Genomic DNA, 15350 nt, shown 5'->3' on the forward strand with positions numbered 1-15350 from the left:
TGTTGCATGTGGCACACAGCACCTTCTGCGCCTTCCACCTTAGTACACACCTAAGGCTGGCCTGCCTTAGCCCCCACTGCATTAGTGGCCCTGATTTGATTAAATGCACCCGGTCTCTCCTACCTGCCCTAGAGGTGAGCACTTGACGAAGAGAGAGGAGATGACCCATAGGTTGGCTTGGTATGTTGAAATGACCTGGGCAATCAGACCCTCCTTTGATGCCTGAACTAGGCTACCCAATTAGCAGTGAGAACTGAGGATGAGAGAGTGGGCAGAGTCTGAGAGAGACAGCATCTGTCCTTTATTTCCATCTTCACATCTCTACGTAAGCCACCATTGTCTCCTGCCAGGTGACTTCAGTGACCTAATGGGTCCCCCTGCTCCCTCTTTTATAATCTAGTCTCAAAAATGCAGCCAAAGAAAACTTCTGAAAAATTTATCCACTTAAAACTCTCCAGGTGCTTCCCATTGCATTTAGAACAGACTTGTCTGACTCAATCATGTAACATTGTTTCATTATTTGCCACTTTCTAGCCACATTGGTCTCTTGACTACATCGGACACATCGTGGTCTCAAGGCCTTTGCACTTGCTCTTTGATCTTTCTTCCCCCACACCTTCACTTAGCCAGTTCCTCCAGGTCTAGTCTGAATTGTCACCTCCTCAGAGAAGCCTTCCCTGGTCACACTACGAAATGCTGTTCTCCCCAACCTCATTCACTATCATATCATCCTATTTTACTTCTTTTGTGGCAGTCATCATTACTATCTAAGATTATCCAGGTTGTATATTTGTTTCTGTGTTTAATGACTGGCTCCACTGCTAGGATACAAATTCCTTGATGGAAGAAAGCTCACCTGTCATGTTCACTGTGGCATTTCCAGTAGTGAGGATAGCGCATTTGATAAATATTTGTTGGATTTGTTTTACAATTTCAGTTTCGACTCCATTTCCAGTACATATATGACCCCCTTCTTTTTTTTAAGATACCTTGAAAACCAAAACAGCCTACTGAAATAAACTTAGAGCTTGAATCTTGTTACCCATTCCAACCTCCCTGGGAAGTTCCGTTCTGAGGCTCTTCCTCCACATGTGACTCCTCCACAGCCTAACTGACATGCTCATGCCACCCGTGGGTGTTTCACTGCAGGCCTGTTTTATAGCATCCTCCCATGCTCACAGAGGTGCCAGCTCCTAATGGCAAGAAAAACAGAGCCAGCCCACCCTCTGCCTCCACCCCTTGCCAGCTGACAATAAGCTCCCTCCTAGCCACTGTCTATTTCAGATAATGCTACATTGTCTCAACCCATCATCACTTGGGTAATCGGGCTCCTTCCTTCTATTCTAGCTACTCAACCATGGTGGTGCTGAGTAAAGGATGTTAACAGAAATGTTTGAGGAAAAATAAAAACTGCCAGGAGTAGGAGGAAGAGAGAACAAGAATGTCCCAGCCAGTCCATTTCTGCCCTTCCTCCTCCCCACCACAGCCATTCTGCAGATGAGGATACCAAAGTCCAGACAGGAACTGGAAGTGACTTTCACTAAGCCACCCTTCAGTGAAGTTGCAGAAGGGTGGCAATATAAAATAAGGACTGCAGGCTGCCTGAGAAACAGGTACAAGATAGGTGCGGTGATGACTTCTTCAAATACAAATGTCTAACTTTGCTGTTATTGGCATTTATTATTTTCAAGAGTGAAACTTCAGCTGATTCCCAAAGATCCAGAATAAGAGTCATATTTAGTAGGACAACGACAAATTGGTTTTGTGACAGACTATGGAATAGGTCCATCCATTCCTCATGCTGTAGCACCCTGAGGACAAGTTATGCCTGGCTTACTCTCCAATGTGTGTCTAGTGCCAAAACAGTTCCTGGGACAAATTTGTTGGATGAATGAGCCCTGAGTCCCTACTTTGAAAACTTACTATCTGTCCAGATCTATGCTAAGCATTAAGAGGAATAAAAAAGGAGAAATAGATACAGTCTATTCTCTCCTTCAGCTTTTGATCTGGTTGTAAAAGAACTGCTGCAAACTGGCTTTGTGACCAAGGCAAGTTACTCAACCTCTCTGATGCTGTTTCTTCCTCTTATCTCCCTGATAAAATAAAGATAACAGTACCTACCCCACAGAGTTATTGTGAAGCTTAAATGAAGTCAAGCATTTAAAGCTACTGGCATTTAGAGTTGTTCAATAAATTGAAGTTTACAGTTCTATCAGCGTAAAATATTAGCTATACATAATTCGAGTTATTTTTGACAATTGAACTTTTTGGTAGCTCTGGGCTTGTCCCTTAAATTCCATTTAGTCAATTTATTTGAAAAGCTTTCTAGCATACTGAATTTTTTCCTGCTGTATAAAACTTGGCTGAATTCAGAGTCAGCATTATGATGGATTCATGTAATTTAATGAATGGATGAGATGTGTAAGATTGATTGTCCATTCACTAAATGGTCCCAGATCGCCCAGACCTTTTGTTTTGTTTTTCGTAGGTCTATTGGTCTCCTCTCTTGCTGTCAGATTGTTGTCCCTTAATTCTTACAGTTGTCGGGTTTCCCAGTTAGGTAGGGACCTAATTTGTTGTGGGCTTGAAAATGAATTAACTGAACCCATTTAAAGTGTGAGTAAACCAAGGGCATCAGACCCTGAATGAGGACCTGGGAAGGCTATGGTCTTTACCACAAACCTTGGCATCATCTGTTTTGACTTCTCAGAGATTTCCTGATTCTTTGTGTGTTCTCATCAGTGATATGTTAGACAGACATGAAAGTTCTTGGCATATGTAGGCACTCAATAAAATTTATTAAATACATGAATGAAGAAGCAAGAAAGCATAATCATATGTATTTAATATACCATAAACTCAAGTGGTATGTATGAGAGTAAGGGTGAGGTGAGGGAATATAGAGTGAGGTTAGTTTGGCATGTTGGAAGAGACTAATTGAGCTAAGTCTTAAAGGAAGAGAAAGATTTTGGGTGAGGATAAAGTTGACATCATGAAGGGGTATAGGAAAGAGAAAGAGTGGATGTTCCCCTGTCCTTGCTATTCTGATGGGCTTGTTTCTTCCCAGGATGACATGAACAAGATATTTCTAAAGGATTCACTAATCCATCCATCCAAACATTTAATAGGCATCTCATGTGCTTGGTTCATTTCCAGTAGTGGGACATAGGAAAAGAAACAAGAAATAACTTCTGCATTGAGGGAGCTCTCTTTGTGACTCAAGTAAAAAAAATCTAGATATACATGATTTGTTTCCCTCAACCTCCAATCCATTAGAAAGTCTTATTGATTCTGACTCCAAAGTATTCCTCAACTCCATCCATTTGCTACCATCCTGGTCCAGTGGACTTCTTGTCTGAACTATGTAATCACATCCTAAGTGAACTCCCTGCTTCCATCCTTGTCAATCCTCCATGAAGCAGCCAGAGTGATCTATTTAATCATATCAGGTCACTTCCAAACACAGAAACCTCCCATGCTTCTAGCAGCACTTGGAATAAAATCTAGTTGCCTTTCAGTGGGCTCAGGCTCTATATGATCTGGCTCTGCCTACTGTCCAAATCCATCCTGCACTGCTCTTCCCTTCAGTCACTATGCTTCAATTTCATTGACCATCTTTTTGCTCCATGAACACAGCAAGTTTGTAGTTCTGCCATCTGCCTCATGGCCTTTGCACTAGCAGCTGCCTCTTCTGGAATGTTCTTTTCCTTGATCCTGCATGGCTGTATCCTTCTCACCAATCACAGTTTAAATTTCTTCTTCTCAAAGAAGTCACCTGCAACTACCCAAATGAAGGTAGCACCTTGTCATTCTCATACCATCTTATTTTTATTCTCTGCCTAGCTCTAATTATTCTCTCAAATTATCTGGGTTTAATATTTATTTATTTCCCATCTTTTCCCACTGTCACCATGAGAGGCGGGACCTTCCCTACCTGGTTCATTACTCTATCTCAGAATGTTTATTAAGTAATACAATTTATTGCAGGAGTGAGTGAATGATGATTGAATGAATGAGTAGTAAGGGAGATAAATATGAAAAGAGATGATTACAGTATGACATGACAAATGCCGTAAAAGAGATGGGAACAAAGAACTATGGGATTCCAGAGCAGAAGACAACAAATTCTGACAAGTATTTGGGGGGAAAATTCTTAGATTTGGATCCCCAAAGGTAATGAAAGTTCACCAGTCCAAAAAGAAAAAAAAAGGTTGAAAATGCATTTTTCATGTCCTTTCCTGGTCTGCTGGTCAGCTGACTCTGTGTCCAATTCAGAGAGAGCTAAAGACATGACAGAACATTTTCGTACTTAAGATTTCACCTCTGTGATGCCCAGCTCATGTAAGACAGTGTCTAAGCTGAATCTAGTACTGTGTCTGCTTACCAGAATTCTAAGACTGGTTACTTCTTCCTCAAGTCTTCTCAAGATTGGATGGAAGATTTTCCTTAAATTAGTGAAGGAAAGGACATGCTTTAATTTCCTAAAGTGTTTCACATACACTTGCTTCAGATATTCCCCAGCTCTGAAGGAGGGCAACATGGATATTCTTGTTTTGAAGACAAGAAAACTGAGGAGCAGCAGGGGCTCAGTTTTAGGAGTCAGAAGCTACACTGAGTAAGTACTTTTGCCTGTCCTCTTTTTATTGTGTGCTACAAATGTCTGACATTGCTTAACCATTCTAAAGTCCCTTTCTTGTTTGCCACCATTGATTGACCCCCTGACTTGTCCCAAAGGTCAACAACCAATCAGATTCTCTCATGAAAATTTGAACTAAGTTCCAGAGGTTATGAGCAAATTCTATTGGGTGTTTGCACTGAGAGATCCTGATGTAGACACTTAGACTGGCAGTCATATTAGGCCATGAGGAAGGTGAGTAAACAGAAAAGGAGATAAGGTGCATTCCCCCCAGAAGCCATAGAGGGAGTTTCTACAGTCCCTAGGCTTGTGGTTCCATTCTCTGGGAGACCTCGTTATACTCTGATTCCTGTTTTTCAATATCTGAAATTGAAGTAACCCTGTCTTTAGGTGATACTGTCAGGTTTGGGGTTAGGATCCTACATGGGTAATTGGCTATAATTTTAAAAAATAGGTCATCCTTTATTGAGGCAAAAACTGTCCTGCTGTTGGCAGTAGGTGTTAAGGTCTTTGCCACTGCAACTCTCACTTGGGATCACACTATGTGTGTGTGTGTGTGAGAGAGAGAGAGAGGTGGGGGAGGGAGGGAGGGAAGGAGGGAGAGAGAGAGAGAGAGAGAAAATTAGAGAGAGAGAAACAGAGATCAGAATCTCCATGGACAAGGCTCTGCTCTCCTGGCTCCTAGCATGCAGGTGGGGACTAAGGCAAGTGGCATAATGGCAGGAGAGAAAGGTAGCTGTTTTAGAAAAATGTTCCCCAGATTGCCCACCCCTAGTAGGTGAAAAATTGTTGCACAGAGTGTTGGGTTGAAAACATCTATAAAAATAAGACAACACCTACCAGTACTGGGCTTGGGGAAACATATGCACGTGTACCAATGACTTCCAGGCTCATGATCAGGCTACAGATTTGACCACCTGGTTGTGCCTGCTCCTTGGATTTGCCTGGCAAATCATCATCATTCCAGGAAGGGGATGTATGTATTATTCAGGGCTCTCCAGAGAAATAGAACCAATGGAATACACACATATATAGAACTCCTTCTTCCTCGGGACATCCATCTTTTTCTTAAGGCTTTCAATGGATTGGATGAGGCCCACCCATGTTAGGAAGGATAATCTGCTTTACTCAAAGTCTACTGATTTAAATGTTAATTATATCTAATGGAATACTTTCCCCAAAACATCTAGAATGATGTCTGACAAAAAAACAAAAACCAAAAAACCACTGGATACTATAGCCTAGACTAGCTGACACATAAAATTAACCATCACAGGGGCAAAGTGGGCATATTGATAAAAGTCTGTCTCTGTAAGATATATTATTGTTTACAAAGTTTGCGCTCATCCATGATCGCATCAAATCCTTATAACATCTATATGAAGAGGAATATTAACTTCCCTATTTTATAGATGAGCAAATCTAGGTTCAGAGACAAGATTACATTGCTGATGATGGTGGAGAGGGGATTTCAGCCCAAGTTGTCTAACTCAGGTCTGTGTTCTTCTAACTATATCACACTCCTTATGACTGGGTTCATAATGTCACTTCCCTACCATGACCCTACTGATTTTCTTCCTTGCATGAGCTCAGAGAGACTTTCTTGCAAGCCTCTCTGAGCTGACTGGCTCAGAAAGAGCATGGGTTTTATTTTGTAGCTCTGTCTTGTGAGCAGTCTCAATGGGCCCCTCTGGGACAGGGCTCAGGAGTGTAATATATGTGAATGTTTCTGAGTGAGCATGAGCTTCCAGCCCAGCTGCAATTCCCTCACCTCTGCCATCCCCTCATCCTACAGCTGGGCCCCCTTCCTACAACCAGACCTGGAGAGGGATGGTTGGATCTGGCAGAGATCCAGCTGGGTACTGTCTGGTCCTCATCAATCCCTCCTGCTCTGACGCCAGACAAGTGTAGCTCCCTTCCTGAGCCCCAATCTCTTCCTGCATCCCAAATAGGGGCCCGGCAGCAGGATTGGCCTTCTGCTTTGGTGTGTGTCTTGAGCTCCTGTTCTAATGGGGTGTCTGTGTACATAACACCCTGAGAATGCTGGACCCACCTGGTCTTCACCAGACGGTGGTATAGAAAGATCTGCCTGTGGCTATGGACAGGCCCTGCAGCCTGGTGGCCCCTGGAGACTTTGGAAAGGCCAGGACTCTCTCCTGCCAAGACCAATAGGACTTCTTGCTTTCTCACCTTGGGCACCCTGTGTGGTGGGGCAAGTTTTGATTGGATGATAGGATCGGAGGCGGAGTGGAAAGAGAGAAATGTCCACGGTAGTGCCTCTCCAGACATGCCTGGCCTCCCCTTTTACTCTTTGGACCTGACCTTAACTTAGGAGAGGAGAGAACATTTTTTCAGAAGTTCAAGTCTTATTTGCAGTACTGGGTTCCTGATATCCTCTCATGTGGGCACTTACGTACTAGGCCACTCCATGAAAGAGAGATAAGGGACATGGGGAGCACAAGCCTCCCAGATTCCAAAATGGCCCTGGGTAAGCTAAGAAGAATGAATAACTGTCCGGAGATGGGTAACCTTGGGGATAGGATGTGTTGCCCTCTAGGTTACAGAAGGTCTGGCTGTTAGTTGGCCCAGGGATCCTTGTTCTGCGTGTCCAAGAATCACAAACGGGTCTTGACATGGAGGCAGATTTCAGTTCAGTGTTGGAAAGAGCTTGCTGTCAACCAGAGCTCTACAATCAGGAAGGCAATAAGCACCGTCTTGGGAGCTTCAGAGAGCTCCATCCAGAGAGGTGTTTGGACACAGGCTGGACAGCTCCCTGATGGGATCCTGTCCAGGGGATTCCTGGATTTAGTGAGAGGTTGAACCAGGTGCCCGGAGGCATCTTCTGACTCAGGTTGTCCAACGATGCAGGTCTTCCTTAAAGTGTCAGGTGCGTCTGTCCCACAGAAGAAGGGCGTTAGCAGGCATGATTGGCATGTCTCTGCCTGGCAGGTCTGCCATTGAATAGCAGCAGCTCCGGAGAGACCCTCTCTCTTTCTCTGGTCCCCTAGCCTGGGAAAGGGCTCGGGACCCTGGAAGGGGACCGGGGTGGCGAGGCCGCCGATTGGCAGCGAGGCGCCATGTGAACTGCACTGGTTGGCTGGCGGGAGGGAGGAGGAGGCGGTTTCCCGGGTAACGGGAGGGCAAGGAGCGGCTGCAGCGGCAGCGGCCGCGGCTGAGAAGCGCGGGCCGGAGTGCAGTGCGAGACCGGCTGGAGGAGGCGGCTCCGCGAAGCCGGTGTGGGCGCAGGTAGGAACCCCCTATGCTGCCTCCCCCAGGTCGGGTCTGGCTGGACTGCCCGGCGGCGGGACCGGCCTGGGAAAGTTTGCGGTGCAACTGGGTGGGCAAGGAGGAGAGGACTTGGGGATGCTCTGTGCTGAGCTCCGGGGTCCAGAGCAGGGTGGGGACTGCCGTTGGGGAGAGGGCCGGCCCCTCATTGAGAGGCTCGGGGGCCACACCTCTGCTGCGGGACTCTGACCGAGGGCCAGGGCCTCTCAAGCCACCCGGCCGCAGCATAGATACCGGGCGAGCGGACGCATAGCCACCCGTGCGCGATGACGGCCGGCGGGCCCTTGTTCACAGATGCGCTGGGAAACTCTTCCCCAGCAGATGCGGGGCTGGGCGCCCGGCGCAGTGCTCCGAGGCTGCTCTGCGAGCTCGGGGGCGCACTTTCCCGGCCTCCAGCGACACTGCGCACGCCCCTATCCGGAGTGGGTGTGTGTCCCTCTGGGCGTACGTGCCTGAGGCTGTGCCACCTCCTGTGCTTGTTCTTGTGTTTCTGACTGTCTTGTTTGCGTGTCTCTGTGGGTTCCCCTCTGCGTGATTGTGTCTCTGGGTGTATCCCCGCGTCTGGGTCCCTCTGTGTTTGCTGTTGGCATGGGTGTCTGTGAACGCCCTCTCCAGGTTCTTGTGTCTGAATACCGCTATTTGTGGATCCTTCTGTAGGCGTCTCTGTGTTTTCGGTCTGTGTGTCCTCCTCTCTGTGTGCTAGTCTTTAGGTGTATCTATGAGCGCGTGTGTTTTCTGTCTGCGCCTCTGTTTTCTAGCTACGTCTGTCTCCGAATGTAGGTCCAGTACCTGTCTGCGCGGGTCCCTCTGTGGAGGCGTGCTTCCTCGTCTGTGATCTGAGCTTCTGTGATCTGTGTATATGGATGTGCGTCTGTAAGTCTGTATGTGTGTCTGTCTGCATGTCTGCGAGTATCTGCTGTGCTTGTGTCGGTCTGTGCCTCTTTGCTGTGCCTGTCTGTCCATACGTGTGTATGTGTTGGTGGGGGTGGTGTAGGTGGATCGGATCCGAGCCAAGCCGGGGGCAACTAGGCCAGGCCTGCGGTTCCCCTGGCTCTCGCTCTCCCACGCTCCGGTTAGCTGCGGGCGGCGGGCTAGGGCGCGGGCGGGGAGGGGGCGCCCGAGCACTGGGAGCCGCGGTGCCTCCCGGGTGTGCGCTCCGCTGAGCCGGCTCCTTTCTTGCCTGCAAAGGGACTCAGGCGGCGGCGGTGGCAGCCCGCGTCGCCCAGCTGGGGCCCTAGTGACTTATTTTTGTGTGTGATCCTTTCTTTTCTTCAGGGAAGAGGCGGGAGCACGCTCCGCTCGCTCGCAGTGCACAGATAAAGGCGCCAGGGTTGGCGGCTGGGTCTGCCCTCCCTCCCCTGTGGCTTAGCAGAAGTGGCCGGCTCACGGGCTCCCTTTGGAAGCAAAAAAGCCCCTAGATTAGAAACTCAGCCCAGAAACCACCATGCCTCCTTGGTTCTCTTTCATACCTCTTATGTAACTTATTTATTGATTGATTAATGAAAAGCTAGATTTCCAAGAAGCTCTTCTGTTTCCCCTATTGACACCAAGGGCTAATTAAAAATGCGATTTTGGTGATAAGTGTTAATTAGACCATTGGAAAGACCCTTCTTTTAGATGCACCCTTCTTTTAGAAGCTTAACTCCAGGTATAAGATGAAACAGGTCAGGCCCCCAACCCTCCAACCTTTAATCCAGATTTAAAAAACAGTTTCCCCAGTCCCGGCAGCCACTGGAGAGAGGGACAGGAGTGAGGAAAAGGCCAAAGGGGCATTGCCTGATTTTGCAAACTTTGGGAAAATCTAAGGATATTTTGCCAAAGCTGGGCTCACAATTCCAACACCCACAGCAGAAGGAGTAAGTTATACCTAAGAAGGCCTGGCCTGTGACTTGTCTGGCACCTGGAATCCTAAATTGGCATTTAACAGGGAATGAAGTTTTACTGCAGGAAGGGACTTCAGCGGGTCCCTCTGAAGGATGCCTCTACCTCTAAGACTAGGAAGCTTTTTCCTGTACCATCTATGTACTGGGCTATATCTCCAAACCTGTCTTTAACCTCCGTCCCACCCAACCTCCCACCCCCGGGGTGGTTGCCCAGAGGAAGAAGGATTTGGGCAGATGTGGAATGGGAGTTTGAAGCCTTTTGGAGGCTGTTTGTACCAGGCAGGAAAAAGTCTTGGCAGTGTGTTCAGAAGATCTTCAGTAAGAGTGGGCTTGTCTTATGAACTTTGAGGAGAAGCCAGGGCTTGCCCTCAATGCTCCCCACTCATCTTATGGTGCAGTTTGGCCAGGCCTTCTTGTTTTTCTCCTTTCCCTTGCAGCCGCTCAGTTCTGACTTATGACACAGAGAGGAGAAGCTGCTGATCCATTGCTGCATTTAGGGATCAATCCAGCACGCATGTTCATTTCTCAACAATTCAGTTAAATGTTCCCTGAGTCCTTTCTTTCAGTTCATTTTCATTCAAGTGTATTTAAACATCCTGAGATTTCTCTGGCAGTAGGAAACCAGAGCTTTTACATCAGGGCATACTCTCTTGAAGTCCCCTCTGCCCAGTCAGGAAATAGACTGGATGTGGCAGCTAGCTAGCTGACAACAGCATCCTTGCTTCTCCTCTTTCTCCTGTGACTCTCTCCCCTCTGGCTCCAGCACAAGGACAGCAACAGCCCCAGAACTGGTGGAGACTGACTCCTAGAAAAAAACAAAAGGCTCACAGGAGGTGTTGAACATCCTCCCACTTCCTGCTGGTTGGGAGGTATTTCTGTGGCGAGAGCGTCTGTCCCCATGTGCACTTGGGGCGTGTGCGCCGGCTGGTGTGATGGGATGTGACAGGGTCTCACCCGGGAGGGAGCTCCAGCACAGGGGCCTGGCACAGAGTGCAGAGCTGTTCTCAGATACAGAGAAAGCCCAGAGCTGTCAATGAGGCAGCCCCGATGGAGAAGGCCTTCCAAGCAGGAGACCCTTTTTGGCACCGGACTTTTTTTTCTTTTATTATTATTCATGAGGAGGGCCAGTAGCTATGAAAAGTGTAGATTCTGAACTCAGCCTGCTTGGGAAAAGTCAAACAGCAGTACTCCTTCCAGAGCAGCATGGATATGAGCAGGAACTTTGAAGTCAGACCTGGGTTCAAGTTTTAGACCCACACTTCCTCGCTGTGTAACTCTAGGCAAGTTACTTGACCTCTCTTATCTTCAGTTGTCTCATCTCGAATACAAAGCTAAACATCTCTATTTGAAGCAGAGGAAGTGACACACAGCATGCCCTTAACAGAGATGTGCTGAATAAATGAATATATGAAGCAGTAGCTAGCACTAAGCATATAGCAAACATTCAGTACATGTTAGCAATTATCATTTGATCACCTATTCTGTGTTAATAGGTGATCTTGATCTTTCCAATTTTGTGTGGTATCATTCTCCTCACTTTATAGATGAGAAAACTGAGATTGGGATTAAGTTACTGGCTCAGGGTCACACAAGAAGCTGCAGTGTTGAGATTTGAACCTAGGTCTGCCTGAGTCTTTTAGTTTGAGGTTTCAATTGGATTCAGAAAAGGGTAATACGTATAGCCAGTTTGTCAGAGTTCACTTGCATTGTGGTCTGCAGCTGAAAAGAATGATTCTGAGGTTTCACCTTTGCAAAGGATCCCTTGAAGGGGCTGTGGAGATAGTGGTGGTGAGCAAAAAGCGAGTATCTACTTTTTTTCTAAAAGCTCAGCTACTTCCTGGGTCAGCAGAGGGCTTCAGTCATTCTGTCTATAATGTCACCCACTCTTGGGTATACAAGATAACCTTCTGAACATTCTGCTCCTCACTGATTCTTACCAAATTCAGAACATCTGTGACTTGGGAATTCACTTGCAGAAATCTGTTCTGGCCGAGTGTTTCACGTGTGTGGGACAAGCCTTCAATTAAGAGGGATGTACCTGTGAAGTCACATCCCCTCTGCTGCTTCTCTCCCAAGCATCTGCTAGTCCTTCTCCTCCTCCTCCTCCTCCCCCCTCACAAGCCCTCTGTGGCCGAGTCTCATGTCCGCCTCTTAACCTGCTTTGGCACTGAGCTGTGCGGAAGCCTTTTGTGATAGGGGATGGCTTCGGCCTTATTCCAAAGTAGCCACCAGTCAGGACAGCTGCAAGGGAGGGTCTGTGGGTTTCTGTCTAGTACCCGCTGCGGCCGGATCTGGCCGCAGCTCTCCCGGAGGCTGGCATGGCCTGAATTGTAGAATGGCTAGTGCGTTCATTACAAATGCTGGCAAGACTAGTGCCTTTTAGTAAAGAGCTCCCCAGCCCCCATTCCTTTCCTTCCTGATGGTGCTGGTGTTGGGGGAGGAGGCATTCATAATTACTTGTTGATGCATGATCTTCCTAGGATCCTCAGATATGTCCCCACCTCTTGGACTATTTATGGGAGGGTGTACCAAGTGTGAATATTTTTCTTGGTGCAGAGGTCCCTTCCTCTCTCCTCCCTCCCTGTCCCTCCGAGCTTCTGTGACGTCAGCCGGGAGGTGACTGAGTGTCTGCTCTATCTGCAGATTCCCAGGCAGGGAATGCGGCTCCATAGGCAGTTGCTTTTCGGCCCTGAGACAATCTCGGCTGCTCTTTCTCACCCTCCCTGAGGACCCTGGTGTCTCGCCTGCCATACACTGCCTCCTGCAGCTGTAATTGGGGGAAAAATATTGATGCTTTGTGCTTCACAGACCATTGCTTCCCTGTCTCTTCATACTATCGTGCCTTATTCCTCTGATGATGATGATGATGATGATGATGATGATCATGCACCCCATGGAAGTTTGAAAGATAACTCATTTCCAGCTCCGGTGTGCTTATTTCCAGAACGTGAGAAGTGGGGAGCCCGTGAGGCCCCTGGAGTTTCCTTGTCCATGGATGTGCTCAGAGGAGCTTGGAAAACGATCATCGGCTGCTGCTTGGTTCAGGCCTCACTATGTGGCTCCAGATGGTGGGAAAGACAGCTCAAATCTGTACTTTTCTACAAAAGACAAATCTGACTGTTGAACGTTTTCTCCTCAGGTATGGGTCTTACACCATGAAGGAAGATGACAGCCCAGGAGGGGAGCCACCGCTGTGATGAACGCTTGCAGGAGCCATGAGGGGCGGCTTTCCGCGCAGTGTTTGCAGTGATTTATGGGAGTCAGGGGCTGCCAGAGAGGGATGTGGATGTTAGCAGCTTGGTGGATTAAATGCCCATTTACATTGTTATTGACATATAAATTATCTGTGCCAAGGAGACAGTGAAGGAAAGGGTTTCTGGGGCAGTAATGTGGTATGTGCCTCAGGATATGGACTTGTCTTTGCCCAGATTTGTCCTCTGGGCTCTCATGAAGCGAGTCTCAGACCTAAAGTAAAACCCCAAGACTTAGCTCTCATGATGCCGGCAGCAGTCACCCTCATTGCAAAGGCAGTGGTGCCGAGTGAGGTTCCCGAGTGGATTTTAAGAAGACAGGAAGACCTTTGAAGAGGTGGTGCTGATTTCCTTGGCTGGCGGGAACTCTGTCTGGCTGTTGCATGCATCACTTTTGTGTGGGTTATTTTGTTCCTCTGTGGATTTGGAAGCATCGCTGAAGGAGAGAGAGGATTTTATTTCTGGGAAATGGAATCGGTTTCTGAGTCCAGCCAACAGCAGAAGAGAAAGCCAGTTATCCACGGACTGGAAGATCAAAAGAGGGTAAGTGGCAGAACTTTGTTGGTTGATTGGATTATGGTGCTGATTGCTAAGTGTGATTCAGAGAGCATAGGTGGTCATCATCGAGCATGCTTGTCTGTCTTTCTCTCCGGAAGGAGGTAGCATGGTGGCTTGAGATTTGCTATGTCTCGATGCTGGGTGTCTTGACTTACTGGTAGGCAAGAAGAAAGATAAAGAAAAGGGAAAAAAAATTCAGTCCTGGCAGCCAAAAAGGCAAAGATTTATAAGCGTTAACTGAGGGAGTTAACAAAAAATGTTGGTGTTCTCAAAATCCAATATGAGTTTCTTTGTACTGAAGCCCCCTTCGGGATTCACACACTCTTAGCACCTTCTGGAAATGTTGCTCCTGACAGCGGAGGTTTTGTTTGAATTATTCTCTGTGTGGTTGTCTGGCTCTTGTGTTTATGGATCAAAAACATATTCTACTGCACTCTTTGGCCCTATCTGTGAGAATGTCACAGCCATTTAAAATGGCCTGTTGAGTGTAGGTCATTTGCTGTCATTGGTCTGAAAGCTGCAGTCACCCAGGACCTGTGTCTACCAGTTAAAGTTCAACTTGTCTTTAAAAGGCAGACGCGTTGTGGAGTAGCATAGGGTGGTTGGTTGTCTAGGAAGAAAGTTGAAGCTACATCTTCTCACTCTTGGGGCATAGCTAAGAACGGGGCGTGGCAAGGGTTAAATAAATCTCTAGCAGAGTCCAAATTTTTGTTGAACTGAAAATAATTTCTGACATTTCCTTTGAAATGTTGTGTATGGTAAAAAAAAAAAAAAAAAAAAAAAAAAAAAAGACTTCTGATGTTCTTTCAGAGTGGTGTGGGTATCCCTCTCCTCCTGAGTCTCAAAGATTGACTCTTCCCAGTGTGAAATACACATGGAGATGAAAACTGTCCTTCTGACTCTTCCCTATGATTTTATGTGGCTCTCTCTGTGAGTGTGTGTGTGTGTGTGTGTGTGTGTGTGTATGAAAAAGGATTTTGTATTGCATTTTCTCTGACTTTCCAAGGATAAAAATAATCAAAAATAAACATTTTATAAATATTGACTCCATTCCTAACAAAAAATTCAATTTCTGAAACTGCTGTCGCTATAATTTGGGAAGAATGCCCACTATCTTGGGAACCTAGATAAGTGGGATTTGTTTTGTGGTGTTTGATTTATTAAGTGTATAACCTACTAGACCTGTCTACTCCTATTTCTACGGAAGCTTTCAGAGAGATAGGAGAAAAATCAATAATAGTTGTGAACAGAACCCAGGATTGATTGCATTTGACTAAGTATTAGCCAAGTTTGGTATCCAGACACTTAGTGGAGGAACATTTGGGACCTCTGACACTGTAGACAATTTTAATTGGGCTGGTACAGCAAGATAATATGCAATTATGATGGCTTCTTTTTGGCTAGGTGTAGATGTCTGCATTTCCCATCTGTTCTTGGCTCTGGCTGTGTTGGGTCCACATGTACTATGGAGCCTCTGGAAGTAGAATATAACCCCAAGTGAGGCTCTGCGGCAGCTGGGGTAACATCAATTGGTCATGCTCAGCTGACATTCATTTTAACTTGAACTCTAGCCGTCATGGCGATTATTAAATTTATAATGATATATGTAAGATCCATTTTAATGAGTCTCCATGCTTGGGTGAGCTCTCACTTGTGCTGGCAAAATAAGGCTTAACAGAGTATTACATTTCATCTTCTACTGAATTTTCTGGGCTGTGGTTGAAACTTTGTGTAGAA

At 46.7% G+C, this 15350-nt stretch overlaps 1 protein-coding gene across 11 annotated transcripts in view, besides 2 other annotated features; it reads left to right on the forward strand.

The window, feature by feature from the left end:
- The window catches only part of NAV2 (neuron navigator 2), a 776366-nt gene continuing 768822 nt past the window's right edge, over window positions 7807–15350 (forward strand). For 7 of the 11 annotated variants that reach the window (XM_017018520.3, XM_047427824.1, XM_017018522.2 and 4 more), the window contains exons 1-2: window positions 7807–7882; window positions 12944–13598. In XM_017018520.3, coding sequence (XP_016874009.1) covers window positions 13524–13598 — 75 coding nt within the window. In that variant the 5' untranslated portion in view covers window positions 7807–7882; window positions 12944–13523. Of the gene's footprint in view, window positions 7883–12478; window positions 13599–15350 lie in introns of those variants that run through there. The other 4 variants (XM_024448758.2, XM_047427820.1, XM_047427825.1 and 1 more) reach the window with 1 other exon arrangement.
- Window positions 7864–7943: an enhancer, noted in NCBI's record as "active region_4518". NCBI's record gives its function as "activates an Ori minimal core promoter by ATAC-STARR-seq in GM12878 lymphoblastoid cells {active_cell/tissue: GM12878}" and the evidence as "EXISTENCE:reporter gene assay evidence [ECO:0000049][PMID:35858748]".
- Window positions 8954–9023: a silencer, noted in NCBI's record as "silent region_3199". NCBI's record gives its function as "represses an Ori minimal core promoter by ATAC-STARR-seq in GM12878 lymphoblastoid cells {active_cell/tissue: GM12878}" and the evidence as "EXISTENCE:reporter gene assay evidence [ECO:0000049][PMID:35858748]".

This window comes from Homo sapiens, chromosome 11 (assembly GCF_000001405.40).
Source record: "Homo sapiens chromosome 11, GRCh38.p14 Primary Assembly".
Lineage (NCBI taxonomy): Eukaryota > Metazoa > Chordata > Mammalia > Primates > Hominidae > Homo > Homo sapiens.